We start from the raw sequence: 19,618 nt of genomic DNA, 5'->3' as shown, positions 1-19,618 counted from the left end.
AATAATAAACTTATAAGGATAGCCTAAGCATTTTCTTCAGGAAGACACCTGGATTTGGGGGAAAAGAAAAAACCACATTTTTGTTTGTATGCTGCCTTCCTCTGTAGCCTTAATGTACATAATATTTTTATTCTGGAAATTTTACTTAAAGATAATTTCATATTTCCACAATGAAACAAATTATTATTTTTAATAACTACATAACCTATGTTGATGTGTCATGATGTTTACAACTTTTTTGTTTGTTTGTTTGAGGCAGAGTCTCGCTCTTTCACCCAGGCTGGAGTGCAGTGGCGCGATCTCGGCTCACTGAAACCTCCACTTCCTGGGTTCCAGCTGGGGTTATAGGTGTGCGCCCCCACGCCCAGCTAATTTTTTGTATTTTTAGTAGAGGTGGGGTTTCACTGTATTGGCCAGGTTGGTCTCAAACTCCTCACCTCAAGTGATCTGCTCGCCACGACCTCCCAGTGCTGGGATTACAGGCATGAGCCACTGCACCCCGCCTACAACTATTAACTTAATATTGGACACGTAGGTTGTTTCCATATCTTGACTGTATATATACTATGCAGTGAATGCTTAGGAATTTATTTTCTTTCTAGTTCGAGTTAAATTTTCATGATTAAAATTATGAGGTTAAAAAATAGAGGCCAGGCATGGTGGCTGACTCCTGTAATCCTGGCATTTTGGGAGGCCAAGGTGGGCAGATAGTTCAATTTCAGGAGTTCAAGACCAGCCTGGGCAACATGGCGAAACCCCATCTCTGAAAAAAAAAACAAAACACACACACACACACACACACAAAATTAGCTGTTGTTGGTGTGGTGACTCACCCCTGTAGTCCCAGCTACTTGGGAGTCTGAGGTTAGAGGATCACTTGAGCCTGGAGGCAGAGGTTGCAGCAAGCCAAGATCATGCCACTACACTCCAGCCTGGGTGTGTGTGTGTGTGTGTACACGCACAAACACACAGTACTTGTCCTGTTGTATATTGTCATATTATTTCCTTTGGACAATTACATACACGCACGCACACACACACACACAGTATTTGCCCTGTATACTGTCATATTATTTCCTTTAGACAATTACACACACACACACACACACACACACACACACACACACACACTACTTGCCCTGTATACTGTCGTATTATTTCCTTTAGACAAACCAGTCTATAATGTTTCTAGAAGTCAAAGACTATGGCTTTTTATGCAGCTATTTCAGTGATAGGTATGCATAAAATATTTCATCAGGGTTGTTTAAATTTTCCTTTCTTTGATTAGTAGTGACAGTGAACACTGTGTAAGTGAATTTATATGAGTATTGTATCTTATGAAATGTCTCTTCCTAAATTTGACCTATTAGCTTATTTGATTCTTGATTTTCTTTACAGTTTGCTCTACACACATTCTGCCCCAATGATACCATTGATCTGAGCATTTTGAAGACCACTTCTTCAAAAAGAATACCGAGCTCTGTGTTACAAATGCATTGTATCCTTGCATTTATATATATATATATATTTTGTTTTCTTTTTTTTTTTTTAAAAGCTTTGACAGATCCAAATGCTTCTGCTGCCCAGCAGGCTGTTCTCCAGCAGCACATCAATAGTCTAACATACTCACCTTTTGGAGACTCTCCTCTCTTCCGGAATCCGATGTCAGACCCTAAGAAGAAGGAAGAGGTAAATTTAAGGATACTTCTGTAAAATATCATATCAAAGAAAGAGAAACTGAATGTGCAGAATGTAATTTTTTGCCTGTATATATTAAGGGATTAAGCAAAGCTAGGTGTAATTAATTTTTTAAGATATTATTTCACTCAGCCGGGAGTAAATTATTTTTGCTGTATCTGGAAGGTGTTGGGACAGTGAAATGACCACTACACTGAAGATCAATGCTGAGGGTTTTCAACAGTCCTGAAATAAGGCAGATATTAATGTTCTCATTTTTAATTAAAACAACTTTTTTTAAGTTTTTTTCTTTTCTTTTTGAGATGATGTCTTGCTAGTATCGAACTCCTGGAAGGAATCCTCCCGCCTCGGTCTCCCAACGTGCTGGGATTACAGGTGTAAGCCACCATGCCCAGCCCTATTCTCATTTTATAATTAAGCAAACTAAGGCTTAGAGAGGCTGACTTTCCTCAAATCATAATGCTCTTAAGTGGCATAACCAAAATCTTAACCTCTTGATTTTTACATAGCTTTGTCTTTAATCTCTTATAACTCTAGTGTAAAAACATGATCTTTTACTCACATGGTGTTAAAAGTGTAGTCTTTGGTCTGTTTGATCCTTGTTTTACCGCTTATAATCTGTGAGACATTGGAAAATGAGAAAGTCATTTTGCCTCCCTAAATTTGTTTCTTCTGTAAAATGGGAAGAGTAATAGTGTTCAATGTTGAGGGCTAAATGAGATCATGCATACCAGGATCATAGTAAATTGCTCAATATACAGAAACTACTATTCAGTCACTTATGTGATTACATGTATCCCTCAGCTTTTTATTTTGTTGTTTTGTTTTGTTGTTTTAAGAAATGGGATCTGCCCGGCGCAGTGGCTCAGGCCTGTAATCCTAGCACTCTGGGAGTCCGAGGCGGGTGGATCACCTGAGTTCAGTTCACGACCAGCCTGGTCAACACGGTGAAACCCCGTCTCTATGAAATATACAAAAATTAGCTGGGCATGGTGGTGGGCACCTGTAATCACAGCTACTTGGGAGGCTGAGGCAGGAGAATTGCTTGTACCTGGGAGGCAGAGGTTGCAGTGAGCCGAGATTGCGCCATTGCACTCCAGCCTGGGCAACAAGAGCGAAACTTCGTCTCAAAAAAAAAAAAGAGAAATGGGATCTTACTATGTTCTTAAATTTAATCCTGTAAACTAGATACTAGAAGCAAGATATGAATATGAAAGTACCTTTTAAAGTGATGTGTAAATGATTAGACAATTATTTATGCAGCCTAATTTTAGGTAGCTGAATATGTGCAAGGCATTGTGTTGTTAAGTGCTGAGGATACAAAATGAAAATAAACAAGAATTTATTAAGGTTGCTATCCAGTGACAAACATCAGACATACAAGCACTTAAGTTTACACTGGTTCAGTAGAGTGTATGTGGTAATAGAAGAGTGTCTATCAATGACGAATGGATAAACAAAATGTTTTATAAGTCTATAATGGAATATCATTTAGCCATAAATAGGAGTAAAGTACTGATACATGCTATAACATAGATGAAACCTTGAAAACATAAGTGAAGGCCGGGCACAGTGGGCATGGTGGCTCATGCCTTTAATCCCAGCACTTTGGGAGGCCGAGGTGGGGAGATCACCTGAGTTCAGGAGTTCAAGACCAGCCTGACCAACATGGTGAAACCCCATCTATACTAAATAAAAAAAAATTAGCCAGGCATGGTGGTGCGTGCCCATAATCCCAGCTATTCGTGAGGCTGAGGCAGGCGAATCACTTGAACCTGGGAGGTGGAGATTGCAGTGAGCTGAGATCGCACCATTGCACTCCAGCCCAGATGACAAGAGCGAAACTCCGTCTCAAAACAAAAAGAAAGAAAACGTTAAGTGAAAGGAGCCAGACACAAAAAGTCACATGATTTCATTTGTATGATATACCCAGAATAGGCAAATCATAAGAAAGAAAGCAGCTTCATAGTTGCAAAGGGAAGAGGGAAGAAATTGAGAGGAACTGAGTTTCTTTTTGAAGTCATCAAAGTTTTCAGGAATCAGATAGTGGTGATGGTTGCACAACCTTGTAAATATACTAAAAACTATTGAAGTAGATGCGTTAAAACGGTGAATTCTATGTCACATGAGGTTTATCTTAATACAAAATTTAAAATATACTAGTGAAAAGATCATAGATGCTTGGATGAATTTGATAAGGCTTTGTTTTCAGAAGAGGAACATTTAACTTTTTTGTATGGATATGTAGGGCTTGGCGAGTCTAGGTCAAGCATTCCAGCCAAAGAATTGTGAAAGATCACAACAATCTGGGAATAACAAAGATTCATTGTTAAGTGTAAACAGCTTGCACTGGGAAGAGAAGAATAAATTCTGACAGACTAGATATGCTAGACATTGTTATTTGAAGTGGTTATGTAATCTCATTTATGCTGTTAGGAAAACAAATATAGAACATCCTCAGGATGTTGTAGAGGTGCCATCTGAAGCACCCTGAAATTTAGTTGTGTGTCCTCCACTAACTTGTAGTTTTCTCAGTAATCAGAGGAAGTAACTTTATTTCTGGTACCCAGAGTTTGACTTAATGTTTAATTATTAATGTTTACTAAAAGATGGATAAATACAAGCTAGTATCTGCCTTTTTTTTCCCCAGAGCAACTTGCATTACATAGAAGTTGAATATTAATTCATGACAGAATCTCAGTTTTTCTTGAAGTATAAGATTTTGGGTTTAATTGAAAAGTAATGTCTATGGCTTAGGATTTTTTTGGTATCATGTTTTCATCAAATGAACATAAATACTGTTTTTCAAAGCAGAATGATTGCAAGCTAAACTCTCATAGGATGAAGAGAATGGACAAGATATATTAATATGTTGTGTTAGTACATTTTAATTTACAGAACTTTTTTCAGATTCATCATCTTTGGATTTTTTTGGGGAAAGAGTCTCGCTCTGTCACCCAGGCTGGAGTGCAGTGGTGCGATCTCGGCTTACTGCAACCTCCGCCTCCTGGGTTCAAGCGATTCCCATGCCTTAGCCTCCCCAGTAGCTGGGATTACAGGTGCACGCTTCCACTGTCCAGCTAACAGATTCATTATCTTGATTACATTTTAAAAGATGTCAGACAAATAATTTTAAATGGGGGCTGGAAAGATGAGTAAAAATCAGTTCTAGAACAATAAAGACAGTTCGGTTAGTATTCACACATACACACAGATAATGCCTCCCAAATCCAAAAATTGAAAATCCAAAATGCTCCAAAATCCAAAACTTTGCACTGACATGACATTCAAAAGAAATGCTCATTGGGACATTTTGGATTTTGGATTTTCACATTTGGGATACTCAACTGGTAAGTATAATGCAAATATTTCAAAATACAAAAAAATCCAAAATACTTCTGGACCCAAGCATTTTGGATGAGGGATACTCAACATGTACAAAGTTGGGTGTTAACATCCTTGTTTTATGGGAACAGAGACTTCAACAGGTATCTAGCAGGTGAATGACAAAGATGAGGATTGAAATCTGGTCTTGTGATTTTTAAGGCCAGTGCAGTACATTTAAAGTAAACCAAAAATTTCCTTGATGCTTTTGTTTTTCAGAGATTGAAACCAACAAATCCAGCAGCCCAGAAGGCTCTTACTACACCTACTCATTATAAACTGACACCCCGCCCTGCCACTAGAGTCCGGCCAAAGGCTTTACAAACAACAGGCACAGCCAAGTCACATCTCTTTGATGGGCTGGATGACGATGAACCATCCCTAGCCAATGGAGCATTCATGCCCAAGTGAGTTTATTTTTGTTAACAGAAATTAAGTGTAAAATACTGATATAAACTAAATATGAAATAATATACAATTATTTAAATATATTATAGATGTGATACAGTCCACTTTGTTTTTGTTTTTGTTTTTGAGACAGAGTCTTACTCTGTCACCCAGGCTGGAGTGCAATGGCATGATCTTTGCTCACTGCAACCTTTGCCTCCCAGGTTCAAACGATTCTCTTGCTTCAGCCTCCTGAGTAGCTGGGATTACAGGCGTGTGCCATCACGCCCAGCTAATTTTGTATTTTTAGTAGAAATGGGGTTTCACAATGTTGGCCAGGCTGGTCTTGAACCCCTGACTGCATATGATCTGCCGCCTGGCCTCCCAAAGTGCTGGGATTACAGGTGTGAGCCGCTGTGCCCAGCCAGTCCACTTTTTTATAATTTGAAAAATACAGAACATCACAAAGAAGAATAAAAGTCACCCGATCACTCCCAGGGATAACTCATAGTTAGCATAAAAATATTTTGATAAATATGCCTCTTATTTTACATATGCATGATTTTGTTTTGTTTTTGAATAATTAGGTTTTTTTGTTGTTGCTTTTAAAAGTTCAGGTCTCACTCTGTCACCCAGGCTGGAATGCAGTGGTGCAATTACTGCTCACTGCAACCTCAACCTCCGCAGCTCAAGTGATACGTTAAAAACATTACACACAACTTTCTTTCCCTAAAAATACAGTAATCCGGCCGGGCATGGTGGCTCACACCTGTAATCCCAGCACTTTGGCTGGCCGAGGTGGGTGGATCACTGGAGGTCAGGAGTTTGAGATCAGCCTGGCTAACATGGTGAAACCCCGTCTTTACTGAATATACAAAATTAGCTGGGCATGGCTGCGTGCGTCTGTAATTCTGTAATCCCAGCTGCTTGGGAGGCTGAGGCAGGAGAATCTCTTGAACTGGGGAGGCAGAGGTTGCAGTGAGCTGGGATCCCACCACTGTACTCCAGCCTGGGTGACAGAGTGAGACTCGGCCTCCAAAAAAAAAAAGAAAATGTAACTGCTTCACCAAAGATGGAAAGTCTAATTTTATGTGTTTCTTAGAATATCAGTAAATTATTTTGAAGACAGGGACTGTGTATTATTTATGTCTGTCCTAGCATTTTATTTATTTATTTTTTTGATACAGTCGCTCTGTTACCCAGGCTGGAGTGCAGTGGCACGATCTCGGCTCACTGCAACCTCCATCTCCTAGGTTCAAGCGATTCTTCTTCCTCAGCTTCCCAAGTAGCTGGGACTACAGGCACGTGCCACCATGCCTGGCTAATTTTTGTGTAGAGATGGGGTTTCGCCATGTTGGCCAGGCTGGTCTTGAACTGCTGACCTCAGATAATTCACCTGCCTCAGACTCCCAAAGTGCTGGGATTACTGGTGTGAGCCACTGTGCCCCGCCTTGTCCTAGCATTTTATATACTGTTTTTGCGCAGAGTAGGTAAAAAGGTTTACAGTAGTCCAGTCATCAGGTCAGTAGCTCGAGATCAGCTTCACCAGGGCTTAGGATTTTCAAATATACAAGTAGAAAGGATTAGAGTGGGAGGACATACATTTTGTTGTTAATACCATCTGACCTCCTTGGCCTCACTTCTGTGGTGTTGCTGTCAAACGTCATCCTTTTTTTTTTTTTTTTTTTTTTTTTTGAGGCAAGAGTCTTATGCCATTGCCCAGGCTGGAGTGCAGTGGTGCAATCATACATCACTGCACCTTCGACCCCTGGGCTCAGGTGATCCTCCCACCTCAGTTCCCAAGTAGCTGAGACCACAGGCCCACACCACCATGCCCAGTAATTTTTTTTTTTTTTTTTTTTTTTTTGGAGATACAGGGTCTTTCTGTGTTGCCCACGGTGGTCTCGAACTCCTGGGCTCAAGCCTCAGCCTCCCAAGGTGTTAGGATTACAGGCATGAGCTACCACGCCCAGCTACCTATCAACCGTCTTAATGTAACAGAAGCATTTTACGCAGTTGATCTTGTCCCTCCTCCTTGATTCACTTTCATAATTGTCTTCCAGGACCCCACAATTTCCTAGTTTTCTTCCTGCCTTGCTGGTTGCTGCTTCTCAGTCCCCTTTACTGGTTCCTCTTCATTCCACCGTCTGTAAATTAGAATGCCCTTGGCTCAGTTGTTGATCACATTTTATCTATGCTTATTTCCAAAGTGCTTCAATTTATTCTCATGGCTTTAAATATCATCTGTAGTCTGATGATTCCCAAATTTTTATCTCCAACCCAGACCTCTTTACCAAACTAAAGATTCTTGTATCTTACCCTACTCTACATCTTCACTTCGATGTCTAAAAGAAATTGATTTAAAATTAACATGTCCATGTTTTCTTTCTCAAACCTGTTCTACCCAAAACCTGTCTCAGATGATTGCATTACTATCATTCTAGTTGCTCCGGTCAGAAATTTTGGAATCTTCCTTGACTTTGTCACACATTCCTCATCTAAGTTATCAGCAAATCCTCTTGGTTCTACCCTGTAAATTACTTAGAATCTGTATAGTTCTCACCACATTCATTGCTATTACCCTAGTGCAAGCCACCACTATCTCTTGCCTGAATTACCACAATATACTCTTCAGTTCTTATTGTTTTTATTTTTATTTATTTATTTATTTTGAGATGGAGTCTTGCTGTGTTGCCCAGGCTGGAGTGCAGTGGCCCCATCTCGGCTCACTGCAAGCTCTGCCTCCTGGGTTCACTCCACTCTCCTGCTTCAGACTCCCAAGTAGCTGGGACTACAGGCGCCCACCACCACGCCCAGCTAATTTTTTTGTATTTTTTTTAGTAGAGACAGGGTTTCACTGTGTTAGCCAGGATGGTCTTGATCTCCTGACCTCAAGATCTGCCTGCCTCGGCCTTCCAAAGTGCTGGGATTACAGGCGTGAGCCGCCGCACCCAGCCCCACTCTTCTGTTTTTACTCTTACTCTTTTGCATCTGATTCTAAACATTGCTATCACAGTGGTCATTTTGAAGCATAAGTCAGATCATTTCCCTTTTCTCCTCAAAACCCTAAGGTAGTTCACATTTTTTTACTCAGAGTAAGGACCAAAGTGCTTACATTGGCATATAAAGTCCTCAAAGGTAGGATTTCCCATTACTGCTCTGAACACATCTACGATTCTCTCCATTGCTTACTCCACTCTAAACTTACTGTTCCTTGCTCCTGTTAGGACACGATAGGCATGCTATTTATTTGGGCCTTTGCCCCAATTGTTCCCTTTGAAACACTTCTCCTCATATATCCATATAGTTAACCCTGACGCTCTGTACTCACATGTCACATCAATGAAGACTACTCTTGCGACACTATTTTTGGTTTATTTTTTTGTTTTTGAGACGGGGTCTTACTCTGTCACCCAGGCTGGAGTGCGGTGGCGCTGTCATAGCTCACTGCACCCTTGAATTCCTGGGCTCGGGATTATTCTGACTTGGCCTCCCGAGTAGCTGGGACTACAGGTGCGTGCCACCACACCTGGCTAATTTTTTTTATTTTGTAGAGACAGGATCTTGCTGTGTTGCCCAGGCTGGTCTCAAACTCCTAGCTTCAAGTGATCCTGCCACCTCAGTTTCCTAAGTAGCTGGGACTATAAGTGCACGCCATTGTCCCTGGCTGATATTTAAAAAATTTTCTGTAGAGTCGTGTTCCTACTTTATAGTAGAGATGGTGTTTCACTGTGTTACTCAGGCTTGTCTTGAACTCCTGGGCTCAAGCAATCCCCCCACCTTGGCCTCCTGAAGTGCTGAAATTACAGCGAAACCCACCATGCCACCTTTATTTACTCTCTCTTTCTACCCCCAACCCCAGTTGCTATGTTTCAGTCCAATGCAGTTATTGTTTTCTGTGATGTTCAAATTGTCTCATATTTGGGCAGCAAGGAGCCCTTTCAGATTGGCTCATAAGTCCTTTCCACATGCCTCAGTAGTGCTTGGTAACTTTCTTGCTTGTAGGATTAACTTTGTAAAATTTTGTTCAGGAGTTCTGCCCTCTGTGTTCATTAATTAAATTCCACACACTGCCCCCCACCCTCACCTGGGTTTTTTGTTTTTGTTTTTGTTTTTGTTTTGAGATGAGGTCTTCCTGTGTTGCCCGGGCTGGCCTTAAGTGATCCTGCTCAGCCTCTCAAGTACGTGGGACTATAGGTGTGTGTGCACAACTGTGTTCAGCTAACGTTTTTTTCTTACAGCGTCCCTACCCAGTTTGGGTATAAAGATTATGCTGACCTCATGAACAAACTGGAGAGTATTTCCTCTTTCTATTTTCTAGAAAAGTTTGTATAAGGTAATAATTTCTAACTGAGTACAATGGCTCACATCTGTAATCTCAGCACTTTGAGAGACCAAAGCAGGAGGATCACTAGAGAGGCCAGTGAGACCAACCTTGGCAACAAAATGAGACCTTGTCTCTAAAAAAAAATTTTTTTTTAATTAGCCAGACATGATGGCACATGCCGATAGTCCCAGCTATTTGGGAGGCTGAGGTGGGAGCATCACAGGAGCCCAGGAATTCAAGGTTGCAGTGAGCTATGATACCACCACTGTACTCCAGCCTGTCTCAAAAAAAAAAAAAGAAAGAAAAGTTGGTAATCTAATCTGATGGTAACATCAGATGTTTGGTACTGGTAATGATAGATGGGTCTGAAGTAGTATTTATAAGACTGTTTGGGGGAAAAAGTATTTAAGAGTTAGAGGATTATTCAGCTTTTTATTTTATATTTTGAGTGACTTTTGATGTTATATTTTTGTAATATGTATTCATTTCAATAACTAAAATTTCAAATTTATTGGCATAAAGTTGTTTAAAAATACCCTTGTCTTTTTTTTTTTTTTTAATGTCAGTGGCGTCTATAGGGACACCTACTTTTTCATTCCCAACATTGACTTTTATTGTGCCTTCTCTTTTTCTGTTTGACCAGGGATCTCCCAGTATTACTGGTAACTTCAAAGAACTAACTTATGGCATTATTGATGTTCTCGCTCCTGTGATTGTTTCCTATTTCATCAGTTTTTAATTTATTATATCTTATTAATATTTAATTATTATCTTGTTCCTTTCTCCTCTCCCCTTTGATTTTCAGCTTTCCTTCTTTCAAATATATGCATTTAAATATGTAAATTTTCCTTTTAGTTCAACTCTTTTTTTTTATGTTTTTGTTATTAACTTCTAGATGAAAAGTAAAAGGCGATAGCAATAGCAATTCTTAGAAATTTGAGAGTTCCTTTAATGGCCCAGTATACTGTTAGTTTATAAATGTTCCATGTGTACTTGAAAAGAGTGTGTACTCTGTAGTGAATGAGTACAGTGCTCTTACATTAGGCTAAGTTAGACCAGCCTGGGCAACCTGGCGAAACCTTGTTTCAACAAAACAGTGGCCAGGCATGGTGGTGGGTGCCTATCGTCCCAGCTACTCGGGAAGCTGAGGTGGGAGAATAGCCTGAGTCTGGGAGGTAAGTCAAGGCTGTAGTGAGCCATGATCAGCGATTGTACCACTACACACCAGCGTGGGTGACACAGTGAGACTCTGTCTAAAGAAAAAAGAGAAAAACCTGAACTTTTTAGGTATTTGTGATCGATCATTTGCATTATTTGATAACAGGATTTTTTACTTCAATACTTTCTTGTCATGTTTTTAAAAAATTCTCTCTCTTTGGGCAAACCAAAGAAAGTAAAAAGAAAAAACTTTTTAGTCAGCAAATGTCTGTTTACCTTTTTCATTCAAGACAGCACTATGAGTTCTATGGTGAGACAGCCATACGTTTGTACTGCCAAAAGAGAGAGAAAGCATTTGGAGAGTATACAGATGATTGAAATACAAACATAGTGTGATGAGTGAACGAAGTGTCTGGATAAAGTGCTCAGAGCTGGGAGGAGGACAGTTTTCAAGGGGATTTTCCACTTTGACTTGAAGGTGTTCAGCTTTATTCTTCCAAACACCATAGTACAATGTATTTGACACCTTGTGTTTTGGCTATACAATCCTAGGAAGCGTTTATAAATGAAACTTGTTAGGTTATTCTTAGGTGTACAAGAGTTGAGCAGAAGTGCACCATTGGACTCCAGTTTTTAAGATAATGTCTGGGACATATCTGTATGCCTGAGTAATTTTTTTCTTCTTCTTTTGGTTTCTTGTTTATAGGAAGAGCATTAAGAAGTTGGTTTTGAAGAACCTTAATAATAGCAATCTCTTTTCTCCTGTTAATCGTGATTCAGAAAATCTAGCTTCACCATCTGAATATCCAGAAAATGGAGAGAGGTACACTGAATTCTGTTTTGAGTTCTTCTTAGTAGAGAGTTATAGTCTCATTTTTAAGACATTCTTAGGAATTTATGAAAATTTATGAAGTTTGATGAATATTACATAGAAGTATTACAAGCTTATGAGCGCCTAGAAATCAAATCATATTTTTGTCTTTTGAATTCATTAAACCTTAAAATTATTGGAGTTCTGATTTAGTGCTTCAGAACTATTTTGGTATTTGTGTATCTTGTTTTGGACAGGGTTAGCATGTATTTGACACCCTTTAGCCCTTTAAGGGATATTTTGTCTGTGATGATTTTCTTTCTTTTTTTTTTTTGAGACAGAGTCTCACTCTGTCGCCCAGGCTGGAGTGCAGTGGCATGAGCCAAGATCGCCTCCCATGCTCAAGCGATTCTCCTGCCTCACCCTCCCATGTAGCTGGGAATACAGGCACCCGCCACCATGCCTGATTAATTTTTGTATTTTTAGTAGAGACGGCGTTTCACCTTGTTAGCCAAGGATGGTCTCGAGCTCCTGACCTCAAGTGATCTGCCCGCCTTGGCCTCCTAAAACGTTGGTATTACATGCGTGAGCCACCGTGCCCAGCCTTGTACAGTGATTCTTAATAGTTAGGTATATATTCTTTCATATCAGAAATTTATTTATTTATTTTTTTTTTTTGAGATGGAGTTTTGCTCTTATTACCCAGGCTGGAGTGCAGTGGCACGATCTCGGCCCACTGTATCCTCTGATGTGAATTGTTCAAGCAATTCTCCTGCCTCAGCCTCCTGAGTAGCTGGGATTACAGGCATGCACCTCCACGCCCAGCTAATTTTTTTTGTATTTTTAGTAGAAACAGGGTTTCGCCATGTTGGTCAAGCTGGTCTTGAACTCCTGACCTCAAGCGATCCACCCGCCTCGGCCTCACAAAGTGCTGGGATTACAAGCGTTATCCACCACACCCAGCCGAAATTTCTTTCTTTATAAATATATTTTATTATATAAAGATTATGCACGAATGATATATTCTGTAACCTGCTTATTTCCATTTATTTTATTAGAAATGCCTTTCCATTATCTGTATGAATATATTTGTCTTTTCTTTTTTAATGATTGCATAAGTCATTATTGTGAATGTAAGATAACTTGACCAGTTCCTTGTTAGTGGACATTTAGATTATCCGGTATTCCTGTACTCAAAACAGTGCTTCAGTAAAAATCCTTATATACTGGCACAAGTTCTCAGGGCCTCCTGAGGGCTGTATCACGAAAAAGAAAAAAAAAAAAAGAAACCCTTTGTATAGACACCTTTGTACTCCTGTTTTTTTTTTCTTTTGGATAAAATTCTAGTGTTTTTTATTATTATTATTATTTATAAAGCATTTTTTAACATTTTGTTGATTGTAATCTTAAAAATCTAACATTTTTTTCAGTTTTTAATCTTAAAATTAACCAATTATTTGATTCCATATAGGAGAGTATACAATAGAGATAGTAATTATCTGTTTCACAGTACTGCTGTAGTAAGTATTAAGTGAATTTTTAATACATGGAACTATCCAGAACAGTGCCAGGCACTTAGTAAAGGCTCGGTATTAGTTAGCTATTATCATTGTTATTACTACTACAAGAGGCTAAGGTATTATTTCTTTTCCTTTGCAGATTTAGTTTCCTAAGCAAACCTGTTGATGAGAATCACCAGCAGGATGGAGATGAAGATTCCCTTGTTTCACATTTTTATACTAACCCTATTGCCAAACCTATTCCTCAAACCCCAGAAAGTGCTGGAAATAAACACAGCAACAGCAACAGTGTGGATGATACCATTGTTGCATTAAACATGCGTGCTGCTTTGCGAAATGGGCTGGAAGGAAGCAGTGAAGAAACGTCTTTTCATGATGAGTCACTTCAGGATGACCGAGAAGAAATAGAAAATAATTCTTACCATATGCACCCAGCAGGTCAGGTTCAGATTGGTGCATGTTTAATCTCTTACCAGTCATTCGAGATGACTTGCTTGTTGCAGATATTCAACATATGGAAGTCAGCTGTTTGGCATTTTAAGTATTATTTTATGTGATCCCACATAGGAGAGCTTAATATTTAAACAGTTTTATGCTTTAGTTGATTCAGAGTTCACATACTCTTTGGACCTTAGAGTATGAAAATTGATACATCTTTAATTATCCTGGTGTAGTCTAAAGAACCCAAATTTTATAGCCAAAGAGACTATCCTGATATTTTCCCTGGCTTTGTAAACTCGGATAGATTGCTTATTGTTTTTTGTTTGTTTGTTTGTTTTTTCTTGAGACAGTGTCGCTCTGTCGCCCAGGCTGGAGTGCAGTGTCGCAGTCTTGGCTCACTGCAACCTCAACCTCCAGGGATCAGGACCTCTCATCTCAGCCACCCGAGTAGCTGGCACTACAGGCACATGATACCACACCCCGTTAAGTTTTGCATCTTTTGTTTTGCCATGTTTCCTGGGCTGGTCTCAAAATCCTGGGCTCAAGTGATCCTCCTATCTTGGCCTCCCAAAGTGCTAGGATTACAGGCATGAGCCACCATGCCCAGCCCATTTTGGGTGTTTTGTGGTATTCTTGAAGTGTCTCCAAAATTTATATTTAGTTTTCTTATTGCCATTATATATATATATATATTTGGTTACTTAGTATCATAAGGAAAGAAGTTTATACTTTGACAGTAAGAATCCCAGGTAGCCTGGGTGTGGTGGCTCAGCACTTTGGCAGGCTTAGGTGGGAGGATCGTTTGAACCCAGAAGTTTGAAATCAGTCTGGGCAACATAGCAAGACCTGATATCTACAATAAACTTAAAAGTAATTAGCCAGGTGTGGTGGCATGTACCTGTAGTTGCAGCTACTACGGAAGCTGAGGTGGGAGGATCACTTGAACCCAGGATTCAAGGTTGCAGTGAGCTATGATTATGCCACTGAACTCCAGCCTGGGTTGACAGACCAAGATCCTGTCTCCTAAAAAAAAAAAAAAAAAAAAAAAGAATTCCAGGTGCTTAATCTGTATTTGTGTATGTATCTCTACATGAATTTATTATGCTACTATATATCTTTTTAATAGGAAGTTTTATATTCTAGTTTTTTCATTTACCTTGTTTGCTGCCACCCAATTTAGAGTTCCCTTCCCAAGAAGCAAGTATACAAGTGGGTGTTGCTGGAGGCTGGAGTTTGGTCTGATGTTGGCCTGAAATACTTTTCTCTCAGAGAGCAAGTTAGCCTTATATCTGACTACAAGTAGGACAAGGAGTGAATAGAGCAAGCAAGCACACCAGCGTTCCACTACTTTCCTTGAGTTTTTCAGCGCTCTGCTTTTTTTATTTTGGTATTTTTTTTTCTATTTTAATTTATTCTTTCTTTCTTCTTTTCTTCCTTCCTCCCTCCCTCCCTTCCTTCCGAGTTTCACTCTTGGTTGCCCAGGCTGGAGTGCAGTGGTGTGATCTCAGCTCACTGCATCCTCTGCCTCCCAGGTTCAAGCGATTCTCCTTCCTCAACCTCCCGAGTAGCTGGGATTACAAGCACCCGCCACCATGCCCAGCTAATTTTTGTATTTTTGGTAGATAATGGATTTTTGCCATGTTAGCCAGGCTTGTCTTGGACTCCTGGCCTCAAGTGATTTACTCACCCCGGCCTCCCAAAGTCCTTGGATTACAGGCATGAGCCACCTTGCCTGGCTGGATTTTTCATCTTTCTTTTAGCTCTTTATTTGGGAGTGTAAATTTGAAAAATAAAAGAGGTTTATGCAAAACAGGCAATGAAACAAGAAGAATTGGGTTTGGAGTTTTATATCTACTTCTATTGTTAAATTACAGTATAAGCCAACACAAGTTATTTCCACTGTAGGTTTTGGTATCCTTGTGTGTAAAATAAAATAAAAAGCTGATTAAGCTTTTCTCAGAGTATTTTATGAGATACCTTTTATAGTCCGGGATGTTAATGGGTGTCCTTTGAAAATAATGTTCTGTGGTTAAATCTGGAAAAACACGAGGTTAAGCAGAGTTTAATAGGCTATTTACTGTAAGTTTTAGACTCTTTGATGTATCATATGTATGTTCTTCAAACCTATTTGACCATGAAGCTTTTCACACACACACACACACACACACACACACACACTCACACACCCCTTCTCCTAGGAATCATGTTTGGTAGAAAAGTAGTTTGGAAAATTCTTCATTCTGATATATTTTCTCTTTATATGATGATTTAGTTGCTGATTATTTCAGGTTATTTTTTTTTCTGTTTTTTTTTTTTTTTTTGTCACAGGTATTATTCTCACTAAGGTTGGTTACTATACTATTCCATCTATGGATGACCTTGCTAAAATTACCAATGAAAAAGGAGAGTGCATTGTCTCTGATTTCACTATTGGTCGGAAAGGTAAGTGTGAGTTTAGCACTTAGTGATTAAGCCAGAGAGTTGCACCTTATTTTTGTAATTAGGGGAAGCTTTTGATAGCTGAATCTTCATTTTCCTACATTTGGGCCCACCTTGGCCTGAATCTTAAATACTTTGATTGATAAGTAACAAAACAAGAAAGACTGGAACCATGTAAATTTTTTTATTTTTATTTATTTTATTTTTTCTGTTGAGATGGGGTCTTGCTACATTGCCTGGCAGATCTCAACTCCTGGGGTCAAGCATTTCTCCTGCCTCAGCCTCCTGAGAAGCACAGAACCATATAATATTCTTTGGGCTTAGGTATACCTGTTTGGTGCTAGTAACTATTTGGGTCATTTTAATTTTCTGTAATTAAAGAAAATACTGGAAATACCAAGAACTTCTGAGAAAATTGAATAATAGGCAAGAGATGTATAACACTTAGCATGAACTTCATGTTATTATTACTGATAATTTTCTTGTGGGAAATGCCACTGTGCTATATTGTATTAAAAAGAGCTCAGGCATTTTAACCCATATGCCAGGCCAAGTGCGAAGGTTTGTTTATATAGCGTCATTATAGATAAATGGGAAGAGATTTAAGAAGGTTGTTTTGAGGCTAATGGGAGTTTTATAAAAATGCAGATGTTAGGCCTGTCGCAGTGACTCACACCTGTAATTCTAGCGCTTTGGGAGGCTGAGGTGAGAGGATCACTTGAGCTCAGGAGTTCTAGACCAGCCTGGGCAACATAGTGAGACCTCACCTTTACCAAAAGTAAAGAAAATGAGCCAGGCCTGATGATATGTGCTTGTAGTCTCAGCTACTTGGGAGGGTGAGGTGGGAGGATTGTTTCAGTTTAGGAGGTTCAGGCTGCAGTGAGACAGGACCACTGCACTTCAGTCTGGTCAACAGAACAAGACCTTGCCAAAAAAAAAAAGAAAAGAAAAGAAAAGAAAAATGCAGATTTTAAATCAGATAACAGTGTAATTGAAGTTACTCTCCCTAAGTCCCCATTCTTACCAGTCTAGGAATTGCTGAATTATTTAAAATACTAATACTTAAAACTGCTTTCTCCTTGTGATTGTTTAATCACTATAGTTGTAAAGTAGGTATTTGCCTTCATACAGAATGAATTTTTAACTATTTGCTCTGATTTATAGGTTATGGTTCAATCTATTTTGAAGGAGATGTGAATTTGACAAATCTAAATTTGGATGATATTGTGCATATCCGGAGGAAAGAAGTAGTTGTCTACTTAGATGATAACCAAAAACCACCTGTGGGTGAAGGGCTAAATAGGTAAGAGTTTATGTACATACAGAAAATTATCAGCTAAATCACAATTTTTTTTTCTGTAAACATAAATGTGTTTAGATGTATGCTTCTGTAGCTTGCTTTCCTTACTATAGAGTACATTTATTGTCTCTACTTTGATTTAAAAGTATAAATGGCAAAGAAATGCTATACTGTGATTTTGAACTCCTTTTCCCTGATTTTATTTTTTAATTCATTTTTTTACATTCCTTGGATTCGATTCTATTCTATTTTATTTCATTTCATTTCATTTTACTATTATTATTTTTTTTTTTTGAGATGGAGTTTTGCTCTTGTTGCCCAGGCTGGAGCGCAGTGGAATGATGTCAGTTCACTGCAACCTCCGACTCCCGGGTTCAAGCGATTCTCCTGCCTCAGCCTCCCAAGTAGCTGGGATTGTAGGCGCCCGCCACCATGCCTGGCTAATTTTTGTATTTTTAGTAGAGACAGAGTTTCACCATGTTGGCCAGGCTGGTCTTGAGCTCCTGATTTCAAGTGATCCTCCCACCTCAGCCTCCCAAAGTGCTGGGATTACAGGTGTGAGCCACGCTGCCCAGCCTCCCTGATTTTATTGGGTCCAACTGCTAATTTCAAAAACTCTTTTTAATAGTATTTTGCTTTATTCCTGTTTCTGCTGTGGCTATACTTAACTCTCTATTTTAGTGTGAGATCCTAGCTTCTAATATCTTAGTCAAGTGAAAGGGCTGTAGTGAAAATTATTTATCTTCATAACCTACCAACCCTGAATCAGGAAGAAATAGAAAATCTGAGCAGATCAATCGATCCTTTCCTTTCCTTTCCCCTTCCGCTTCTTTTCTTTTCCCTTTCTCTTCTTTCTTTCTTTTCTTTCTTTCTTCTTTTGAGACAGAGTTTCACTCCTTTGCCCAAGCTGGAGTGCAGTGGTATAGTCTCAGCTTACTGCAACCTCTGCCCCCTGGGTTCAAGCGATTCTCCTGCCTCAGCCTCCAGAGTAGCTGGGATTATAGGTGCCCGCCACCATGCTCAGCTAATTTTTGTATTTTTAGTAGAGACAGGGTTTTGCCATGTTGACCAGGCTGGTCTTGAACTCCTGACCTCAGGTGATCTGCCCACTTCGCCCTCCCAAAGTGCTGGGATTACAAGCATGAGCCACTGTGCCGGGCCAATAATTAGTAAAGAGATTGACTCAGTAATCACAAACTTGTCAAAAAAGAAAAACCTAGAATCAGATGGCCTCATTGGTGAATTCTACTAAGCGTTTAAAGAAATAACACCAGTCCTACTCAGACTCTTCCAAAAAATTGAAGAGAAGGGAATACTTTCACACTCATTCTATGAGGCAAGCGTTACCTTATTCAGTAACCAAAGACACTGCAAGGAAAGAAAACTACAGACCACTTGATGAGTATATTGATGAAAAAGTCATCAACAGAGCCCTAGGAAGCAGAATTTAACAGCGTATTGAAAGGATTACACATCATGGCCAAAAGATTTATTCTGGAATGCATGGATGGCTTAACATACAAAAGTCAGTGAAACATACCACTTTAACAAGATAAAGGAATATACCACATCATCATCATCATCATAATACAGAAAAAGTATTTACCAAAATCCAACACTCTTTCATAATAAAGGCACTCAAATACAGAAGGCTTTTCCTGTGAGACAAGGCAACACAAGGATGCCTGCTTTTGCCACTTTTCCCAAATATACTACTGCAAGTCCTGGTCAGAGCAATTAGGCAAGAAAAATAAAAGTTAATACAGTTTTGAAAAGTAGTAAAATTATCTCTGTTCTTTGATGACATCTTGTGTAGAAATCCCTAAAGATGCCACACAAAAAAACTTACTAGTTATAAACAAATTCAACAAAGTTACAGGATACAGAATCAACATGGAAAAATCAGTTGCACTGCTATACACTAACAACAAAAATTAAGAAAACATTTCATATATATAGTAGCATCAAAAAGAATAAAATATACACAAATAAACTTAACCAGGGAGGTAAATGACTTGTTTATACAAAACTGCAAAACATGGTTGAAAGAAAGTACACCAGACACAGATAAATGGAAGACAGACCATACTCATGAGTTAGAAAACTTCATATTGTTCAGCTAGGTGCAGTGGCTCGTGCCTGTAATCCCAGCA

The 19,618-nt window shown here is 39.2% G+C and overlaps 1 protein-coding gene across 12 annotated transcripts in view, besides 6 other annotated features; it reads left to right on the top strand.

Moving 5' to 3' along the window:
* Positions 1–5,193: part of a biological region, named in NCBI's record as "nucleoporin 98kDa recombination region", that runs on past the window's edge. NCBI's record gives its function as "recombination_partner: LOC106865368 | LOC106992256 | LOC107105350 | LOC107126281 | LOC107126288 | LOC107126359 | LOC107133509 | LOC107133517 | LOC107133518 | LOC107195252 | LOC107197952".
* Positions 1–19,618, top strand: part of NUP98 (nucleoporin 98 and 96 precursor) — a 122,545-nt gene that overhangs the window by 60,675 nt on the left and 42,252 nt on the right. For all 12 annotated transcript variants that reach the window (NR_157591.1, NR_157590.2, NR_157589.2 and 9 more), the window contains 6 exons: positions 1,556–1,689; positions 5,302–5,489; positions 11,661–11,777; positions 13,425–13,723; positions 16,055–16,168; positions 17,330–17,468. Coding sequence is in view for 9 of the 12 variants with exons in the window: in NM_001365128.2 (NP_001352057.1) it covers positions 1,556–1,689; positions 5,302–5,489; positions 11,661–11,777; positions 13,425–13,723; positions 16,055–16,168; positions 17,330–17,468 (991 nt within the window). In the remaining 3 variants the exon portion in view is untranslated. The remainder of the gene's footprint in view (positions 1–1,555; positions 1,690–5,301; positions 5,490–11,660; positions 11,778–13,424; positions 13,724–16,054; positions 16,169–17,329; positions 17,469–19,618) is intronic.
* Positions 814–1,014: a silencer, noted in NCBI's record as "peak1178 fragment used in MPRA reporter construct". NCBI's record gives its function as "represses an SCP1 promoter by STARR-seq MPRAs in K562 erythroleukemia cells {active_cell/tissue: K562}" and the evidence as "EXISTENCE:reporter gene assay evidence [ECO:0000049][PMID:32103011]".
* Positions 2,886–2,887: a mitotic recombination region, noted in NCBI's record as "NUP98 intron 13 (TOP2B) recombination sub-region within the nucleoporin 98kDa recombination region recombines with the NUP98-TOP2B recombination region". NCBI's record gives the evidence for it as "EXISTENCE:nucleotide sequencing assay evidence [ECO:0000219][PMID:16166424]".
* Positions 3,330–5,150: a mitotic recombination region, noted in NCBI's record as "NUP98 intron 13 (TOP1) recombination sub-region within the nucleoporin 98kDa recombination region recombines with the NUP98-TOP1 recombination region". NCBI's record gives the evidence for it as "EXISTENCE:nucleotide sequencing assay evidence [ECO:0000219][PMID:12874791, PMID:10959088, PMID:11979559]".
* Positions 4,344–4,348: a mitotic recombination region, noted in NCBI's record as "NUP98 intron 13 (IQCG) recombination sub-region within the nucleoporin 98kDa recombination region recombines with the NUP98-IQCG recombination region". NCBI's record gives the evidence for it as "EXISTENCE:nucleotide sequencing assay evidence [ECO:0000219][PMID:18084320]".
* Positions 5,192–5,193: a mitotic recombination region, noted in NCBI's record as "NUP98 intron 13 (HHEX) recombination sub-region within the nucleoporin 98kDa recombination region recombines with the NUP98-HHEX recombination region". NCBI's record gives the evidence for it as "EXISTENCE:nucleotide sequencing assay evidence [ECO:0000219][PMID:18388181]".

The sequence above is a fragment of the Homo sapiens genome, chromosome 11 (assembly GCF_000001405.40).
Source record: "Homo sapiens chromosome 11, GRCh38.p14 Primary Assembly".
Classification (NCBI taxonomy): domain Eukaryota; kingdom Metazoa; phylum Chordata; class Mammalia; order Primates; family Hominidae; genus Homo; species Homo sapiens.
This window is presented reverse-complemented; position numbering and strand designations above follow the sequence as displayed.